The 19,404-nt window shown below is 49.9% G+C and overlaps 1 protein-coding gene and 1 long non-coding RNA gene across 2 annotated transcripts in view, besides 2 other annotated features; one reads left to right on the forward strand and one right to left on the reverse strand.

Annotated features, from left to right (window-relative positions):
• Window positions 1-2,153: 2,153 nt before the first annotated feature.
• On the forward strand, window positions 2,154-18,406 carry LOC124903522 (uncharacterized). Its single transcript, XR_007064706.1, has 3 exons — window positions 2,154-3,076; window positions 11,436-11,553; window positions 16,897-18,406. It is a non-coding gene; the product is annotated as an uncharacterized LOC124903522 (long non-coding RNA).
• Window positions 2,871-2,960: an enhancer, noted in NCBI's record as "active region_9713". NCBI's record gives its function as "activates an Ori minimal core promoter by ATAC-STARR-seq in GM12878 lymphoblastoid cells {active_cell/tissue: GM12878}" and the evidence as "EXISTENCE:reporter gene assay evidence [ECO:0000049][PMID:35858748]".
• GRAMD2A (GRAM domain containing 2A) overlaps window positions 6,811-19,404 on the reverse strand; it is a 37,982-nt gene continuing 25,388 nt past the window's right edge. Inside the window, exons 2-12 of the mRNA NM_001012642.3 lie at window positions 16,852-16,944; window positions 15,944-16,001; window positions 15,496-15,571; window positions 14,741-14,844; window positions 13,999-14,097; window positions 13,637-13,708; window positions 12,359-12,415; window positions 10,618-10,762; window positions 10,271-10,481; window positions 9,278-9,382; window positions 6,811-9,017 (exon numbers count right to left, since the gene is read on the reverse strand). Of these exons, the coding sequence (NP_001012660.1) occupies window positions 9,014-9,017; window positions 9,278-9,382; window positions 10,271-10,481; window positions 10,618-10,762; window positions 12,359-12,415; window positions 13,637-13,708; window positions 13,999-14,097; window positions 14,741-14,844; window positions 15,496-15,571; window positions 15,944-16,001; window positions 16,852-16,944 (1,024 nt within the window). The 3' untranslated portion in view covers window positions 6,811-9,013. The remainder of the gene's footprint in view (window positions 9,018-9,277; window positions 9,383-10,270; window positions 10,482-10,617; window positions 10,763-12,358; window positions 12,416-13,636; window positions 13,709-13,998; window positions 14,098-14,740; window positions 14,845-15,495; window positions 15,572-15,943; window positions 16,002-16,851; window positions 16,945-19,404) is intronic.
• Window positions 15,413-15,707: an enhancer, noted in NCBI's record as "tiled region #4122; K562 Activating DNase matched - State 4:PromP". NCBI's record gives its function as "activates a minimal TATA promoter and a strong SV40 promoter by Sharpr-MPRA in K562 cells {active_cell/tissue: K562}" and the evidence as "EXISTENCE:reporter gene assay evidence [ECO:0000049][PMID:27701403]".

The following is a 19,404-nucleotide window of genomic DNA, read 5'->3' on the forward strand; positions in this document are numbered from 1 at the left end:
GCACCTGTAATCCCAGCTACTCAGGAGGCTGAGGCAGGAGAATCACTTGAACCCGGGGGCCAGAGGTTGCAGTGAGCCGAGGTCACGCCACTGCACTCCAGCCTGGGCAACAGAGTGAGACTCCATCTCAAAAAAAAAATACAAAAATTAGCTGGGTGTGGTGGTGGGCATCTGTAATCCCAGCTACTCGGAGGCTGAGGCAAGAGAATCACTTGAACCCAGGAGGCAGAGGTTGCAGTGAGCCGAGATCACGCCACTGCACTCTAGCCTGGGGGACAGAACAAGGCTCCGTTATTAAAAAAAAAAAAAAAAAAAAATCACCCCTAGGAGTCTAAAAGCATTTTTTTTTTTAGGCCAGGGATCAGCAAACTTTTCCTTAAAGGGACAGATATGGTCAGATGATCTTTGTCATAACTCCTCAACCCTGCCATTGGAGCTCTAGAGCAGCCAGAGACAATACATAAACAAAGGGGCATGGCTGAGTTCCAGTAAAACTGTATTTACGAAAAGCTGGCCAGGCTGTACAGCAGTCTGTACTTAGCTGATTCCTGCTTTAGACAAAGACACATCTTGGTAAATCAGCTCTCTTCATTGATAGGCCAGTGTCTATTCATCCCCTCTCCCAGTTGCCAAAAACAAAATTCTAGAAGGGTGAATGCAAACCTAGCAAAATTATAGATCATTAGCTTCTCTGCCTGCATGCACATGGGGGCATTCCTTACTCAATGTGGCCCTTGAGTAAGTTGTGATTTGCGGGATGAGGTAGAGAGAGAAATCCTGCTATCAGGTGCTGTCTTGCTAATGAGTCTTGAGCACATTATCTGAAGCTTTGGAGTATCCTCTAGAGGTTTCTAATAGGCAGAATGATCTACTTCTGAAGCCTCTTTTCTCTATGCCATTAAGTTCTTTGGCACTGATGATGAATTTCCTGCGGCAAGGAAACCATTTTTTACTTTTATCAGCTATTCTGAAAGTCAATAGACTGACGCAGTTATCAAAATAACTGCCAATATTATAAGGTCCAGGCCCTAACTTCCTGCCACCTAAAGCAATGATACTCAATTAGGGGTAGTTTGCCTGCTCTGGAGACACTTGGCTGTCATAACCAGGGGTGGGGGGTGCTACTGGCATCAGGTAAGCAGAGACCAAGGATGTGGCCCAGAATCTTTCAATACACAAGATAACCCCCTATAACAAAGAATTAGCCAGTCCAAAATATCAGTAGTGCTGAGGTTGAGAAACCATGATCTAGACTTTTCTACTGAACTTTTAATCCACCTTGTACTCTACTGAGAAACCAATATCGCCAAACCATCACTTTTCTCCTTCACTCCTAAACTGCAGTAGCTCCTCAGCCCGGGGAGACTAAGTCTGTCCTTGTCATCCTGGCACTTAGATCCTGGGGATTCTGCCCACATACATATTCAGACTCTGCTTCTTTCAGATTTTTATCTGTCCCGCCCTCAGCACTACCATACTTTAACTGATGTTACCCCGCAAACACACATTTTGGGAAGATCCTCCCCACCTCTCTCCTCAGATCCAAATCTTACTCATTCTTTGAGGCCCACGCATGCTGCATGCCCCTGTAACATTAAGTCTGCCCATACCACTGCCTTTTGCACTTACACGGATTCACCCGTCTTACACTGTTACATTGCTATTCTGTCTACCTCGCTTCCTCAGCTACTCCCTGAAGGAGTCCATATTGTATTTCTGGCCTATTGATCTCAGTTTACACAGCGTAAAGTGTGAAAACTGTATTAGTGTATTGAGATTCTCTTCAATGAGATAATGAGTATAAAAAGCACTCTATATAGTGCCTGGTACACAATTAAGTGCTCAGAAAATTATAGTGTCATAGTATCTATAGAAGCATGCATTCAGGAGCCCATAGAAGGTGCTTAATAAATTGTTTAAATGTGGTTATATATTGGGGAGAGCATGCCACACAGACTAGTCTGGTATTTGGAACTAACAGCAAAGAAAAACTTGCATAGAAATCCTACACCAATTAACACACCTTCATGCTAGACTGAATCCAGGAGCAGGGGTGTCATGTTTTCCCAGAGTGGTGCCCAACCCAACCTTTTTGCATTTAGCAAGTTAATGAACACCTTGTGAATAACACTTTGCCAACTCTGGCCCAGTTTAGAAGGCTGCCAATAGGATATCAGTATGCCACACCGTCTGCTTTCCTGGGGACCCTGCTGTCCTCTCCCTAAGTGCTTCTGCTTTCAGCCGGTGGAGAGTCTGATGTGCCTAGAGAAGTTGCGCAGTGGGACGAGGCTGCAGCGAGAGCCTGGCCTTTCCCCAGGCGGAAGAGAGCCTTGTCTCAGATCCTGAGAGAGAAGTGAGTGGGGGCATGGCATTCCGAGCAGCCCAGGTTTGGCTTTGGGCCAGGCACTGAGTGGCAAACAAGAAGGAACACATTCCGGGAAGGCAAGGAGCCCTGCCAGCACGAAGGCAGCAGCGAAAGCAGGGCTCTGCTGGGTACCAGGTGTTCCTTGGCTCTGTGGAGGTCAGGCACGCAGGCGGATGAACTCAGGTTTCTCTAGAATATCATTTCAGAGGCTTAAATGCCTCCCACCCTCTCGCTGTCAGCGGACAGGGCATGTGGAACTGTTAAACGTTAAAACTCTCTGCTCTGGGGCCCAGCCCGTGCTCTCTAAATAAAGGTAGGAGCGGAAAGAGTGTTGTTGCCATCATGAAATCACACTTCACAGGAGCCAGATTTCGGCGATTCTGTGTCTAAGAGAAAATGCTAATCCAAACAAGGGCAGGTTGGAGAAGAGCCTGGGATTTCTATGCCCTAGAAACTGCACTCTCCACCCTTGCAGCCCAGAAACACAAACACACACACACTTGTTCTCCACGCCTGCCTTCCGAGTGGCCAGAGCTGGGGGAAGTCTGGAGAGCCCTCGGAAACGCCGTCCTTTCAGAATCAGCGCTGGCCCTTCCCCAGGTGATGAGAGAAGAGAGCGAGGAGGACCAAAGCGGAAGCGGATAGAGCCATTCTTTTCGGGGCAAATGGCCACACAAGCCTTCCTGAAGATTCCCTTCTTACTTTGGATAGGTAGGTGACCTGGACTGGAGGGGCCCTGGGCCCGTTTTCCCCAGCAAGGGGACAGGAGTAGCTTTTTCTGAGGGAGGACAACGAAGTCTTTACTCACCCCTCTGCCTCTGCGTCTTTTTGCTGGACTTTGCTGCCGCCTAGTGGCTCAGTTGTCATCACTTCCTTCTCTGAGAGAGAGACAGCCAGCCTTGGATTGAGTTTGAGGATCTAGCCTCTCAGTCTAGTCCTGAGGCAACCTGGAGATCCTTCTCTGAGAAGTTTCTCTGCTCTAGGACTCCCTGGTTCTGTGGCCCAGCAGCTAGGAGAGAGGAGCACCATGGGCTTCTAGGCCTCACTCAGTCTGGCAGTCAGGTAGAGGGGCCATGGCTGGCTGGCTGGGCACCTGGGAGAGGGGGTGGGGGTAGTTTCTTATTCCCAGGACATCTCAGTGGGATGAAGTTGTCCTTGAGTCCCCCTCATTCCTGAATGCCTTTTTCGCTAATAATACTGCCCCTCCCATGACCCTTCCTTTCTGCTAAGGCCCATGTTGCAAAACTGAGGCTCTGGCATAATGTATATTTCCTTTCTGTTTCCCCAAATTTAAGGCAGCTATTTCTCCCTGATAAAGTTAGCTCATTGCCATGATAAATATATGATTATATGCCTTCTCTGTGATGCTGCTGCTATGAATCAGTCCCTGGGAATAGTGAGGAGTGGGCATACTTTAAAGAATTTTATTGGATTGGTTTCTCTAAGTCCCTGAAAAGCCTATAGATTATAAGCTATATTTTTCTGTGTATTATATCCAGGTGTTTATTTCCTCTAGCAAAGGAAAGCACTTGGTTTCAACAACCACTGATCTGCCCTACCAAACTTTCCGATCTGAGCTGTAATACCCAGGGACTATATAAAATCCAAACTCTTCTGCTTACCCCACCAAACTCTTTTCTTTTAACTTTTAAAAAATTGTGGTAAAATGACATAAAATTTACCATCTTAACCATATTTAGCATATAGTTCAGTAGTGTTAAGTACATTACACTATTGTGCAACCAATCTCCAGAATTCTTCATCTTGCAAAACTGCAACTCTATACCCATTAAACAATAGTTCTCCACTTCCCCCTTCCCTCAGCCCCTGGCAGCCACCATTCTACTTTCTGTCTCTATGAATTTGACTACTCCACATACCACCTATAAGCCAAATCATACAGTATTTGTCTTTTTTTTAAGAGATGGGGTCTCGCTGTGTTGCCCAGGCTGGTCTCAAACTCCTGGCCTCAAGTGATCCTCCCTCCTATGTAGCTGGAATTACAGGCATAAGCCAGCCACTGCACCCTGCCCAGTATTTGTGCGGGGTTTTGTTTTTATTTTTTTTTCTTTCTACAAGCCTGGATTCCAGAAATTTTTTTTTTTTGGACTGGATTATTTCACTTAGCTTAATGTCCACAAGGTTCATCAATGTTATAGCATGTGTCAGACTTTTTTTCCTTCTCAAGGCTGAATATTTTTTCATATATATATATATATATATATATTTACATATCCATGAGTAGATGAATATACATATTTCATTGTGTGTGTATATATATATAGAATATATAAACATATATATATAGAATATATACACATATATATATATATGTTTATTCATCCATGGGTGGACACTTGAGTTGCTTCTACTTTTCGGTTATTGTACATAATGCTGCTATGAACATGTGTGTTCAAATATTTCTTCAGTTTGGGCCCTGGAGGTCGAGGCTGCAGTAAGCTGTGATCACACCACTGTACTTCAGTCTGGGTGACTGAGTGACAGAGTGAGACCCTGTCTTTAAAGAAAAAAAAAGAAAAATTTCTTCAAGATTATTCTCTCAGTTCTTTTGGCTATATACTTAGAATTGCTGGATCATATGGTAATTCTGTTTTTAATTTTTTGAGTAGCTGCTGTCCTGTTTTACACAGTAGTTAAACCACTTTACATTCCCACCAACAGTACAGTTCTCCATATCTTCACCAACCCAGCCCAAGTCATTCCCAGAGTTACTAATTCTCCACATCTTCACCAACACTTGTTATATTCTGTTTCTTTTCTGTTCTTTGAGAGTAGCCATTCTAATGAGTGTGAAGTGGTACTTCATTGTGGTTTTGACTGGCATTTCCCTAATGATTAGTGATGTTGAAGATCTTTTCATTGGTTATTGGCCATCTGTGTATCTTCTTTAGAGAAATGTCTATTCAAATCCTTTGCCTTTTTTTTTTTAAGACAGTCTTGCTCTGTTACCCAGGCTGGAGTGCAGTGGCATGATCTCGGCTCACTGCAACCTCCGCCTCCTGGGTTCAAGCAATTCTCCCACCTCAACCTCCTGAGTAGCTGGAACTATAGGTGCATACCACCATGCCTGGCTTTTTTTTTTTTTTTTGAGACGGAATCTTGCTCTGTCGCCCAGGCTGGAGTGCAGTGGCGCGATCTCGGCTCACTGCAACCTCCGCCTCCCGGGTTCAAGCGATTCTCCTGCCTCAGCCTCCTGAGTAGCTAGGATTACAGGCACCCACCACCACACCCGGCTAATTTTTGTATTTTTAGTAGAGACGGGGTTTCACCATGTTGGTCAGGCTGGTCTTGAACTCCTGACCTCGTGATCCACCCACCTCGGCCTCCCAAAGTGCTGGGATTACAGGAGTGAGCCACAACACCTGGCCTAATTTTTGTATTTTTAGTGGAGACAGGGTTTCCCCATGTTGGCCAGGCTGGTCTCGAACTTCTGGGCTCAAAGCGATCCACCTGCCTCAGCCTCCCAAAGTGTTGGGATTATAGGCATGAGCCACTGGGCCCAGCCTTTTGCCCATTTTTCAATCGGGTTTTTTTGTTGTGTTGACCTCTATAACCTCTTTTCATGTCACTCTCCCACTTAGCATCCTAGGATACTAACATGCAGCTAGTCTCTCTGCTCCTCAGAGACAAACATGTCCTTTCCTACCTTTTGCAGTTGCTGATCCCTCTTCCAGGAATGTGTTGTTCCCAGCTCCTCTCATGACTGACTTCTCATCCTTTAAGCACCAGCTTGTCACTTTGGAGAACTTTCTTAACCATGTCATCTAAAGCCACCTCCCTCTTTACCACTGTTTATCACACTTCATCATGTCACTGTTTCTTCTTGAAAATCACTATCTGCAATTATCTTGTTTGTTTACATATTTACTTGGAATCTACCTGTACATGGAATGTAAGTTAAGTTCCATGGACACAGATATGTTTGCCATGTTCATGGCTCCAGTGCCCAGCTTAGTACCTGGCATGTAGTCTTGGCTCAATAATATTTATTGAATGAATGAATCACTACTAGAGGGGGCATCACAGGGAAAAAGAAGGAAGGTGATATGGCCCAAATTGGAATTTTACCTCCTTACATAGGCTCTGGGTCATAGAAAAGGCCACACGAGCTTTCTGGCTCTGAACTCCGTATGTTAATTCCTGGATCAGAGGCATAATCCTGTTTGAGCCAGGGACATTGCTTTGGAGTTGCTCAGAGAAAATGGGTAAGTATTCCCGGTGTCCACCCAACAGAGGCAGAGGGCTGTGGGGGTTTGCTGTGGCCACCCTCACTCTTCCCCATATGCCAAGTCCTTTGAGATTTGCAGAGTACTTGGGATTATAGGAATGACTTGGGCTCCATCAGTCTCCTGGGGGCTGAGTATGTCAGTAAGAGTACCTGTAGTGAGTAGTCAGAGGATAAAAATGAACTTTCTATACCATAATACACTAGAAAAATCAAGTTTTTTATTTTAAAATATTTTCAAAGGCTAAGGCCATAGCAAAACAACCCAAGGGTGGTTGAATCAAACTCAGGGAATTAGAGGAGCATCAGCCAATGCAAGCAGGTCTATATAAAATACACATCATTTATAAATGCACACAGCAGAAAGCACAGTGGCCCCAGAGGACCAGGCAGGGGGACAACAGAGAGAAACAGAGCACTATCTGGAGGGACAGGCACACCCGCAACACTCAAAGCCCTGGGCCCCAAGTGCACCTCCAAAGTCACCTACGCTGCAGCATGGCTCTTGCCCTTTCTGAGCCTGGGTATAGCTGAAGACCAAGTTCACCAGCATCTTGGCACATCCACCTATAACTGGCACCTCTCATGGCCTCTGACAACCAAGCAAGGCTCAGAGAATGGATTTTTATCTCTGTCTTTCAGCAAGGACCAGGGAGAAGTGCTGAAGCAAGAAGGGTTATTTTCCTAAAAAAAAAAGACGGATGAAAGGGTGAAAGGGGCTGGTTCCAAAAAAAAAAAAAAAAAAAGGATGACCATTCATGGAACAGTGAGTTTCACCTGAGACATACAGATTTGGTGCAAGCAACACAAAAGGCCAGGCTCTAAATTTCATCCTAAAAACTGGGATGGGGAGAGCATGAAGAGACCACTTACTGGTAGTCCCTCCAATTCTCATTTGGGTTTGTCATAAACAGGACAGACAGTCGTCTGCTTCACAATAAATAATTTCCACCTGGATTTCATTCCCTGATTAATCTCTCAGTGTCTGAAGAGGGGAAAACAGTGGCTGCTTCTGACACCGCCCACCCCATCACCAGCAACTTTCCCTGATACTTCTGGCCTCCTCACTAAGCCCTTCCAGAACCTCCAAAGCCACTATCTTAGCAGATGGGAGTCCCAGGGCGATGAGGCCAGAGTTGTGGGACACAGAGAAGAAGAGAAGGCCTTGATAGAGGAAGAGGAATATCCAAGGCAAAGCCACCACCACGTCCAACCTCCTCATCCTCTACCTTTCCTGTCCCCAGAGGTATGAGATAGACCCCCTGGCCTGGTTCCTGCACTGTGCTAGGCCCACAGTGGACACTTCCACCTTAATGGAGAATAGGCCCCATGGAGTGGAGGTCCCTCCTCCATGGCCTGCAACCCAATGACTATGGGGGTGACACAAGTGACCTCTGCCCTGTGATGGCTCAACACCATCACACGCAACTGTCCAGACAAGCCCCCCTCAACGGGCTGCTGTTGGCCATGCCTGAGATGCGGGCAGGCAGGCAGGGAGTGGACAGCAAGACCTCAGATCCAAGCCTCCACCCTTCCCTTCCCTATTTCCAGGGCTTGGGACACCTTAGAAATGTTTGAGCACACAAGGGCAAAACCCAGTACCAGGTCTGTGACCACAGTGATCAAAGGCCCTGCTCCACTTGTCTCACCGGAAAGTGACAGCTGAGGACACAGAATTCAGGTACCTCTGTTCTTCACAGCCACTGCCACCATCTCCGCCGTGGGCAGCATCTCCCCATAATGCAGCCAGCCACCTCATGAGGGGCCGGCACAGAGCCCTGGCCCAGAGCATGGAAATTCATCTCTGGCTGGAATCCTGGCCATGAGCCCTCCCCTCTGCATTCACAGATTCTCAGCAGGCCCCTGCCCAAGCCTGACAGGTGCCTGGCTGCCCGCAGAGAAGCCCTGTGGGAACACAGAGTGTTGGGAGGGAGCAGAGCCCACATGGGTGGTTTGTGTTCTGACCTCTGACCCCACCATAGGAGTGAGCTGTGTGGCAGAGCCACATTCCAAATGCGAAAGCATGGCCTCTGTCCTTTGAGGTGGCCTCCAGTGTTCTGCCTGTGTGCCAGAACTGTTTCCAAGGACCCAGTTTGTTTGTTTGTTTGTTTTCTCTAAGTGTTTGCTGAAGCTTTGTGTACAGAATTCCTCAGTTGGTTCCAAAAAATCTGGCTTTTTGCTTGAGTCCAAAAATTGTAGAAGCCAGTTACTTTGTAAACACGTACTTCAGATCTCTCATAGAGGGAAGAGAAGAGCTGCGGGGAGGAGGAGGGATCTGGAATATTTTCCTTCATAGGCAGTCTTAGCACAGCAGCAGCATAAACCACAGGGATCATTGGTGGAGACTTAGCACCCAGAACATTCTTCTTGGAGAAGGAATGGGGACAAAGGCCAAGTGGCTGTTACCTGCACACAGGAAAGATGTCCACATCAGGGAAAGGGCCCAGAATGCAGACGGACGTGGGCAGAAGGGCCAGTGATAACTTTACTTCCCCCAAGAGTGGGCCAGGGTGGGACTGGTGTACCCTGCACGCTGCCCAACCTTGCTTAGGGTCAGAAGCCAGCTCAAAACAGGACCAAGTCCAGCCAGGCAGCCTGGCCTGAGGTTCTTGGCTCCTGTCCTCAACCCTCAATATCAAAGGCATTAGAAAGAGAAAAGGCCTCACCTGTGCCCAGGGACTGGGTCATCCCAACTCAAGGAGCATAACTGCTGCTCTAGCCGAGAAATACGGAACGCCAGGTAGGATGAGGACATGACCAGGAAGCAGATCCTGAAGAAAGCGGCAATACGGAGTTAAATATTTCTTCCACAGAAAGAGCATTTCTGGAAGTTCACCGGAAATAGTGGGGACCAAGCTACCCCTGCAGTTGGAAGAATTAAAGAGCCCTTTGTCCTGCAGCCAGTTCAGGCCTCAGCATCTTTCTTCCCAGACACCATGTAGGGGTCTTCAGACTTGTCCCCATGGAAGTGTCCTTACAGCCCAGCTAGAGCTCTGGGCCCTTCAGCTGAGCTCTGGGGGGAGCTCTGGCCAGACAGCCAGATCAGTCATCCTACCCTCTCTCTCACCAGCCATGGTGGTCCTTCCTGTGCCTCCTCTGGGAGGTCATGATGATGACCCCCTAGGCGGTGGGCCCATTCCCCCAGCAGGTGCTGATGTTGATGGTCAAAACCCGGCCAGCCGAGCCAGAGGAGGCTGATGAGCTAAGGTGAGGGAAAGCAGGGGCTGGCTGTTCATGTCACTTCCCACGATGCTCCCTGCTCTACTGGTCCTTAGACAGAGGTAGAGACAAGTCAGGGGTTCCAGAAGCTGCCCTAGTGGTGGGCAGTGGCGAGGCCAAGCTTTTCCTCTCTCTCTCCAATTTTCCTGGCCCTCCTTCTCCCAAATCCTTTTCCTCTTCTCAACATCTCCATATCCTGCCCCTCTCCACCAAATAGTCTTAACCCTAAATTACAGGGTTTCAAGAATAAAAACTGGAGATCCTTTCTCTTGCTACAGAAGGGCGTGCCACATGGCCTTCAGATACCACCCAAGAGCTTGAATTTGACTCAGAAACTTCCCCCTGGTTCTGAATAGTGAATTCCCCACACTCCAAGGCCCTTGTTCCAAGCACCTAGACATGCAGGTGGGTCTGTCCCCCTCCCCAGTATAGTCACTTACAGCACAAAGAAGACCTTGAGGAGCCGGTAATCCCAGAGCCTCAGCTCCCCAGTGCTCCTGGGCTCCTCCTCCAGCTCATCCTCCTCATAGACAGCATTCTTTGCAGTGGGAGAGCAGTTCGGCATCTTCTTAGGGCAGGCAGGACCCCAGCCTGGCATGGGCCATGCCCACCTCCCACCATTTTCTGAAGCTACTTGGGCTCTTGACTTTTCTTTATGGATTGGGAGAAAAAAAAAATCAGCTCTCAGAAGCCCTGCTGGCTGTGGTGAGCCCTTTTTATGGAACTGGGAAGACAGAAAGTCTGGCCTTTGCAAGTAGTTGCCATGGACAAGCCCTCCCGAACTTACCAGACATTGGAGGCTTCCTGGAGGGGAAGAAACTGTCTGTGGAGTCCACGGATGATGGAGGGATACAAGGGATGTTGTCTGGGAGAGACAGGGACCTGGAGGAAGGGCATACCTTTCTCCACTTCATCTCAGGGATGAGGACTTCCTGCAGTAAGACAGGAGAAGCTATCTTACCATGGCCCTTGCGATCTCACTTGCCCTAAGGAGCCCACACCAGGTTTATCAGAGTTTTCTCCAGATATTACCAAATATAGATGCCTAGCCAGGGATGGAAGCAGGTACAAGCGAGGAGGGCAGTTGCTATAGCAACCATATGCCTCTCCTCTCTGCTCCCTTGCTGTGACTAGCTATTCTGCCAGCAAACGATGTCTTTGAACACTGCTAGTGTAGAACCACAGTGGGATCTTAGATGTGAGCCAACCCAGATACATGCTCAGATCTGAGGCCAAGAAAGCTCGGCACAACATGTCTTAGGTAGGATAAGTTCCTGCTCCTATCCCAAGCCCTAACCTTGGCAGGGAGGACTTAGCGTCCCCATCTACAAAAATGGGAACTTCACCTTCTATCCGGCACATGGTATTATGCATATCACATGCTTGGCTAAACACTAATAGTTACTAAAGGAGCCTTCAAACACCCCAGGGTCATTTCTACGCCATCCCTGCCCTAGAAACTCAGTTCTGCCTACCCAGGGCCCCAGCTGCCAAAGGAAACTTCTGGAACTTTGGCAAATCTAAAATAAGTCTGTCTGGGTTCTTCAGGGATAGTCTTTGGAGTTCTTCCCTAGGGACATCTTTTATTTTTTTTTTTTTTGACAGGGTCTCCCTCTGTTGCCCAGGCTGGAATACAGTGTTGTGATCTTGGCTCACTGCAGCCTTAACCTCCCAGGCTCAAGTGATCCTCCCATCTCAGCCTCCTGCGTAGCTGGGACTACAGGTACGTGCCAACATGCCCTGCTAATTTTTGTATTTTTATTGAGACAGGGTCTCACTATGTTGCCCAGGCCAATCTCGAACTCCCGGGCTCAAGCCATCCTCCTGCTTTGGCCTCCCAAAGTGCTGGGATTACAGGCGTGAGCCACCACACTCGGCTCCCAGGGTCATCTTTATCCCCTTGAAGGCCCTCTTGACTCAGCTGAAGAAAAGAGGATGGGCCACTGGTCCTGCATCTGTACAGGTGTGCAGCCCAACCTGGCCAGTGTTTTGGTGCTTGGACTTCTGTTCTACTCAGAAAGTCAGCCTATCGGCTGGGCACGGTGGCTCACGCCTATAATCCCAGCACTTTGGGAGGCGGAGGCCAGTGGATCACTTGAGGCCATGAATTCGAGATCAGCTTGGCCAACGTGGTGAAACCCCATCTCTACTAAAAATACAAAAATTAGCTGAGTGTGATGGCAAGTGCCTGTAATCCCAGCTACTTGGGAGGGTGAGGCAGGAGAATCACTTGAACCCAGCAGGTGGAAGTTGCAGTGAGATGAGATGGTGCCACTGCACTGCAGCATGGGCAACATAGCAAGACTCTGTCGTCCAAAAAAGAAAGAAAAGAAAGCCTATCTGCTGAGGCCCTGGTGGCTCTGCATTATGGTGTGGCAGGTTTAAGAGATGCCCTGGCATAGCATGGCCACTGACTCTTGAGCCTGGTGCCCCAGTTCTGCATTGTGGGCCCCCCTAGGAGGCCCAGAAGCCTCAGAGCTCCAGGCACTGTCAGTCCAGCAGTCTTTGCTCCCAGCTTCAGCTCTCACCAGAGACTCAGGTTCCCCTGAAAATTCTCTTACACTCAGACTCTTCTTGCTGGAAGGCTGAGGAGGAAAGGGAACAGCAGTCACTTGTCCATCTGGAACAGGCAAGGTCAGGCAGGGGGAAGCATCAGCCCTCTCCAAGAGAGCTTTACCTCCAAATAAGCCACTTTGTGTCAGGTGAAGCCCAGCTCCCAGGGTCTATAGGGGGCCCCCTATTTAATGCTGGAGCAGAGAGGCAAACCCCAGGAAACTTACTCTCCCACCTGCTGCCCCATCCCTCCCCTCTTCCTCACCATAGGCAGAGAGAGTCATAGGGCATGTTGGGAAGCAGCTACGCGCTCCTATCTGTGCATTAAGGAAGCACAAGTGAGGGCCTGGACATAGAGACGGTCCCTGACCTACGATGGTTCCACTTAAGATTTTTCAACTTTATGATGGTGCAAAAGTGATAGGCTTCCTGTAGAAACTGTACTTCAAGTACCTATACAGCCATTCCGGTTTTCGTTTTTTGTTTTTTGTTTTTTTTTGTTTTTTTGAGATGGAGTCTTGCTCTTGTCACCCAGGCTGGAGGGCAATGGTGCAATCTCGGCTCACTACAACCTCCTCCTCCCGGGTTCAAGTGATTCTCCTGCCTCATCCTCCCAAGTAGCTGGGATTACAGGTGCCTGCCACCACACCCGGCTAATTTTTGTATTTTTAGTAAAGACAGGGTTTCACTACGTTGGCCAGGCTGGTCTCGAACTCTTGACCTCAGGTGATCCACCTGCCTCGGCCTCCCAAAGTGCTGGGACCATACAGCCATTGTTTTTCACATTCAGTACAGGATTCAATAAGTTATATAAGATGTTCCACACTTTATTATAAAACAGGCTTTGCCTGAGATGCTTTTGCCCAGCTCTAGGCTAATGAAAGCATTCTGAGATGTTTAAGGGAGGTGAGGCTAAGCTACGATGTTCTGTAGGTGATGTGTACCTCTATTAAACACATTTTTGACTTACGATATTTTCAACTTTTGATGGGTTCATGGGACATAAGCCCATGAACAAGGAGCATCTGTATATGGGGACACACAGGGGCTCACTGGCCTCAAAGACATGCTTGCAAGCATAGACACACAATCCAAGTACTGTCTCTTGTACATTGAGCCTGAGCCTTTAACTCCCCTCTCCCTGCCCCATTCCCTGTGCTGGAGAGATGGGCGACCTCCCCCAACACCCTTGTGCAAGACCTGCATCCAGGCCTGAGCGACTTCCCTGGCCTTCCTGCTCCCAAGCTCCATACCTGTAGGTGGGTGCAGACTCTCCTCAGCAGGTCATATACACTGTCCCGGGAGAGCAGTGACACAAAGATATACTGGGACATGGAAAGAAAACAGACAGGGGTAGGGTGAGATGAGACTCCTTGCTGTGCCAGCCAGCCCCCTTGTGGATTGGGCACAGGCCCACAGGGGTATCAGGCCATGAGAGCCAACAGAAGCTCTGCCTAGGAACTTCTCTTCCAGCTTGTTGTACGGCCTGAAATACCTACTGGAGAGCTGCAGGGTGGGGTGAAATAAAGACCTGGGAATGTGCCCGAGTCAGACTGTGGGCTGTCAGGGCTGGGAGCGGGAGACTGACAAGGGAGCATGGGCCCAGTGCACTGACCTTCTGGCTGGTGTTGGTGGTGATGGCCAGTCCATTGGGAAGGAGCCGTGCCATCTTGTGTTTTTTGATCATTTGCACAGACACCACAGGAATGACCACCTGAGAGGGAGAGGGATGCTTCTCTCAGGACTAACCCCCAAGGACGTGGTCCCTTTGCTCCCTGCCTAGGGACCCAGCTGTGAGCCCAGCATGGCCACCATGGGGAAGCCTGGCCCCATGTGGGGAAGTCTCTGAACCTTCTACCTTTTCATCCAGGCTCCCCTTCCAGTTGTCCCTGCCACCCTGCCCCAGCCTTGGCAGGATGTGTCACTCTTGGCTGTCACATAGGTATGATCCCTGTTATCCAGGAGGCCAAGGATGGTGGCTCTGGTAAATCTCATACTCTAGTAATGGAGCTCCCCAGGCTACTTCTTGGCCACAGCTAGGGCTCCGCCTAAATGTGATATCCCACTCTGATTCTCAAAGCATTTCTGAAATACCCAGAGGCAGAATGATTTGGCTGTGAACTGTTCAGGCCAGCTCAGGCCAGATGTGGGGTCCAGATTGGGCCCCTGTTTTTGAAGGGGCAGGACTACTTTCCTGGACACTGGATGGGATGCCTCGAAGCTGCGCATCCAACCAGCAAGGGGCTTCACCCGGGGCCCAGCACGCAGAGAGATAGGCATGACTTTGAGGCATGCCCGTGGGGCAGGAGGCTGGCTCCCCTCACAGGGTCATGGCAGCCCTCACCACTCATTACTACCTTGATATCCTTGCCAAAGAGGCTGGCATGGAAGCAGAGCCAGTTGGGGGAGATGTAGAGCCGGCCCTGGAGGAGGAAGTCCCTCTGGAGGGCACAGGAACACACTAGGATGTCACAGGAGAGAAAATGGCCATAAGCAAGGTCAGCCCAGGAAGCCCCAGGACCTGGGTCCTCACGTTCTGGAGTCCACAGTCCAGCCTCAGGACCTGTCTTCCTCAGACTCCCCCTTCCCCACCGCAGGCCCCAAACCCCAAACAGTCCATTCCCCAGCGTCGAAGGGTCCTTCTCCTGACTGCTCCTCCACTCCACCAGCCTGCTGGATGTTTCTTCCTTCTCCACCCTTGCTCCAGAGGGTCCAGGCAAGTTCCTGCCCTGATCTCCAAGCCTGCATTCTCACCACCTCAGGCAGAATCCCTGACCTTTCCCTGCTCTGCTCTGCCCCAAGGGCCTTGATTGTGCAAATGCCCCCACCTGCTCAGTGAGAGGCCAGAGCAGGTAAGAAGTCACCAGTAAGAGCAGGACACAAGATTCCAAAGCCCTGACGTTTCCCCAAGAAAACCTTCAAAAATGCAATGCTATGTCCAAACCAGCCCAGTCTTCTCACCAGCCCAGTCTTCTCACATTCTAGGGGAGTGGTCCACATCTAAAGGACAGCCAGTTCCCATTTCTAAGTCGTGCTTTGGAGGCTCCAGAGCAGAGGCCCCTGGCCCCAGGCACTCTGGGTGCCTAACCAGCTATACCGGGAGACAGCTCACCTTTGAGAACCACTTCCTCCAAGGGAACATCCTTAAACAGCTTGTGGTATTGCTGGTTGTATTTATTCAGTGTTATCTGCAAACACACAGGCTGCGTCTGAGAAGCGCTGGGAGATGAGACCGCCAAAGGGGCCCTGCTCCAGCCAACAGGAAATGCCACAGCCCCCCGGCCCATGCTGGGGACTTAGCATGAGGCAGCTAGTAAGCAGCCAGTGAGTATGGAGGGCTGTGTGCCAAGCACAGCTTGTCTCCTGGTGCTGCTAGGTCCTGACAGGCAGCTTGTACTAGCAGAGGGGGACACACTACTCCCACCCAGGAAGGGATACACACTCAGGTCTCCTGATTTCCTGATGACAGGCCCGGTGGCCAAGGAGCCAAAAGTCACTGAATTCTGGCAGCCCAGGACCCCTTCCTGGGTGAATAGTGAGAAGTCAGCCTCCAGACTTACCCCTTCTCGGCCACACTTCTTTATCTCTTCACCCTTCAAGCCTTCTGGCCAGTGCAGACTGCAAAGGAGACATTCCATTTCGGGAACAAGGAACCCCAGTCCTGCCCATGCATCCTCAGTGCCAATTCTGCCCTGGCCTTGAGCCAGAAGCTTGAGGCAGAGATCAGAGACTAGGACCCTTCTCTAGGGGACACAGCAAAATGACAAGTACAGCGAGCACACAGCTAAACTATACAGCTCATCCCTGGGGGAGGGCACTGCGGGAGGTAGAGAGGGGTCGCCAAGGGCCCACCTTCCCCAGTGCGGGTGAGCAGCATCTCCTGGAGGTGCGCCTGGTCTCCCAGAGATGCTGAGGAGCTTCCCACCTGGGTGTCAAAGACCCTGTCCCATTTCTCTGGCCAAGGGGTAAGCAGGGGAGCAGGCAGTGCTGGAATAGGGACAGTTTGGGGTGTGGGTGAGGTGAAGGTGTCAGACTCACAGCGCCGGGGCCTGGCCACAGGCCATGATGCCAGCAGGACTGCCCTCCCTGCCGCCTCCTTCCTGTGGCCTGAGCTCTGCTGCGGGGAGCTTGGCACAGACTCACCTGACCTGGCTGAGGCTACCACACTGGGAGAGGGGGATGGCACTGAGAAAAAAAGGTAAACCTTTGCCTTGGCCAGGTTGGCCCAGAGCACAGGTGAGCAGGGAGGAGGCTGGAAACCCGAGAAGCATGGACTCTGCTAGGTCCCAGTGCACTGGGACAGTCTTGAGGGGCGGGAGGAAGAAGCCTGGGGCAGCCTGTGCCTGACCTCACAGACCTGCAAAGGGGCCCCGGCTCTGCCTTGAGGTCCTCTTACAAACAGGTCACTTCCTGAGGGCTTCCCACCCTCTAGTCTGTGTGTATCTATGACTGGGAAAGGGGTCCTCACCTGTAGTCCGGGGGCTCCTCAACTCTGTCTGGTTTCTCTTTGCAGGACACAGGACTGTTCAGAGAAGCTGTCTTTCTGTGCATTTGTTGGTTGCTAGGGAAAAACAGGCCCATATCAGGAAGGGGGCTTCATGAGGACACCTTTCCCTAACAGCCCCACCATGCCCATGGCCGCTGCCTCTGGCCCCCACCCAAGACTGGCCCTGATATTGAGGGTGACACTGAAAATGTCACAGTTCAGAGGCAGCAGCGCAGGCAGAGGTTCTGGGATGGCTGACGGAGTAGGCGGGTCTCACACAGCGTCTTTCCCGAAAGCCAGAAGTTCTGCTTATGCCTAGGCTGGGAGGAAAATCAACCTGTCTACCTCATCTCCAGTGCCAGGCAGCTCGTAGGCCAGGCTGAGTGAGGCCTCTAGCCCCACCCTTGAGGAGGCACACTGAGAGGGAGGACCCTGAGACTCGCTTATGCCGAGAACAAAAGTGTCCAAAGTACCCGCGCAGCATGACTGTAAACCATCAGGTTCCGGGAAAGTAGGCTGAGCACAGGAGGCCTTATCAAAGCTCAGGAGCTGATGCGCTGAAGGTGTGGGAGGTGGACGCCCATCAGCCTACAGGTGAGTGTGGCCAGGAGGGGAGGAGCCGTCTTATACCAGGAAGTGGCCTCAGCCACCTTGGACAGTCAGGACAGCTTGATGATGAGAGCCAAACCATCTCAAAAATGTCCCTGAGGGAGAGCGTAGGAGGGAACAGATCCTCTCTCCCTGGGCAGGTCGGGCTCTCCAATGGCCTTTGAGTTCCTGCCTCCACTAATCGCTCCAAAGAATCATTACCCTGTTCCTGCTCCTCCAGGCTACACATCAATAAAGCCTGAGCCGTCAAGCCAGCCCCAACCAAGTGGGCCCAGGGGCTGACCAAGAAAGAGAGGGTGGCCAAGAAGCAGGGCCGTGCTGGGGCAGTGTGGTGGTCAGGAACAGGTAACAAGGTCACGTGCAGTGGTCCTGCTGCAGATTAGGAGCTGGAGCCTGGAACCTACAAATCTCAATGCTCAGTCACCCTCCGCTCTGTGACTGAGGCCAGCCAAAGTTCTCTTCTTCAAGAACAGAGTTTTCGCCTCAGCCCAAGATCTGCCAGGACCCTCAGAGATTGATTCAGCCTCACCCGCTCCCACCATACCATTGTACAGATTATGAAACTGAGACCTGCCAAGGGACAGGCTGTGTCCGGTCCTACAGTGAACAGCCAGTGACCTCACCCACAAAATCAGCCCAGCCATGGCCATGTGGCCTGGTTACCTCTGTCCTCAACCTTAGAGAGGATTTTGCCACACATATCAACATATACCTACAACAGTCTTGTGAAGTGACAGATTTTGCTAGAGATTTGACTCTCAAAGTTGATTTCTGGATTTATTTGGTTCCATCATGTCACATTTCACAGAGGTTTTTTTTTTTCCCTTGATTTTTAAAGATTATAGAAAATATGAAAAATATATATAAGATCAAAATCACCTAAAGATTCCCCAAAAATCACCCAAATAAAAAATGTATGATAAACATATAACCTATGTAAATGGTTATATAATCTATAATTTGTATACCCTACTTCTGTGGCTTAACCTGATTTCATGAGAAATTTCCCATGTCACTCACTGTCCATTCCTAAGATAGATTCTCAGAAGTGAAATTAGTGGATTGAGAATGAACAGATGCTGTTCCAGTTAACCCAGCCATCAGCACGACATGAAGGTGCCTGTTTCCCCATATTCATGCCCTTCTCTGGATATTGTCTCTCGCTCACCTTTGCAAATCTGATAGGTGAAAATACGTTGTCTTCATTTGTATTTCTGCTTACTGGTAGGTTGAACAGTTTTTTCCAAATAATTATTAACCACTGGAAGTTCATTGTCTTATAGAGAATTCACAGGTGAAATTCTTTCTTCATTTGTATTGAAGTTCTTTCTTCATTTGTATAAATTTTTTCTGGCTTTTTTATTTTTTTTTTTTGAGATGGAGTCTCTCTCTGTCGCCCAGGCTGGAGTCCAGTGGCGTGATCTTGGCTCACTGAAACCTCCACCTCCTGGGTTCCAGCAATTCTCCTGCCTCAGCCTCCCAAGTAGCTGGGACTACAGGCGTGTGTCACTGTGCCTAATTTTTGTATTTTTTAGTAGAGACGGGGGTTTCACCATATTGGCCAAGCTAGTCTCGAACTCCTGACCTTATAATCCCCCTGCCTTGGCCTCCCAGAGTGCTGGGATTACAGGCATGAGCCACCACGCCCGGCCTTTTTTTTTTTGAGACAGGGTTTCACTCTGTCGCCCAGGCTACAGTACAGTGGCGCAATCTTGGTTCACTGCAGCCTCAGCCTCCCGAGCTCATGTGATCCTCCCACCTCAGCTTCCCAAGTAGCTGGGACTACAGGAATGCTCCACCATGCCGGGCTAAGGTTTTCATTTTTTTTGTAGACAGCGGGGGTCTCACTGTGTTGTCCAGGCTGGTCCTAAACTCCTGAGCTCAATCGTCCCACCTCAGCTTCCCAAAGTGCTGGGATTACAGGTG

The sequence above is a fragment of the Homo sapiens genome, chromosome 15 (assembly GCF_000001405.40).
Source record: "Homo sapiens chromosome 15, GRCh38.p14 Primary Assembly".
NCBI classification, from domain to species: domain Eukaryota; kingdom Metazoa; phylum Chordata; class Mammalia; order Primates; family Hominidae; genus Homo; species Homo sapiens.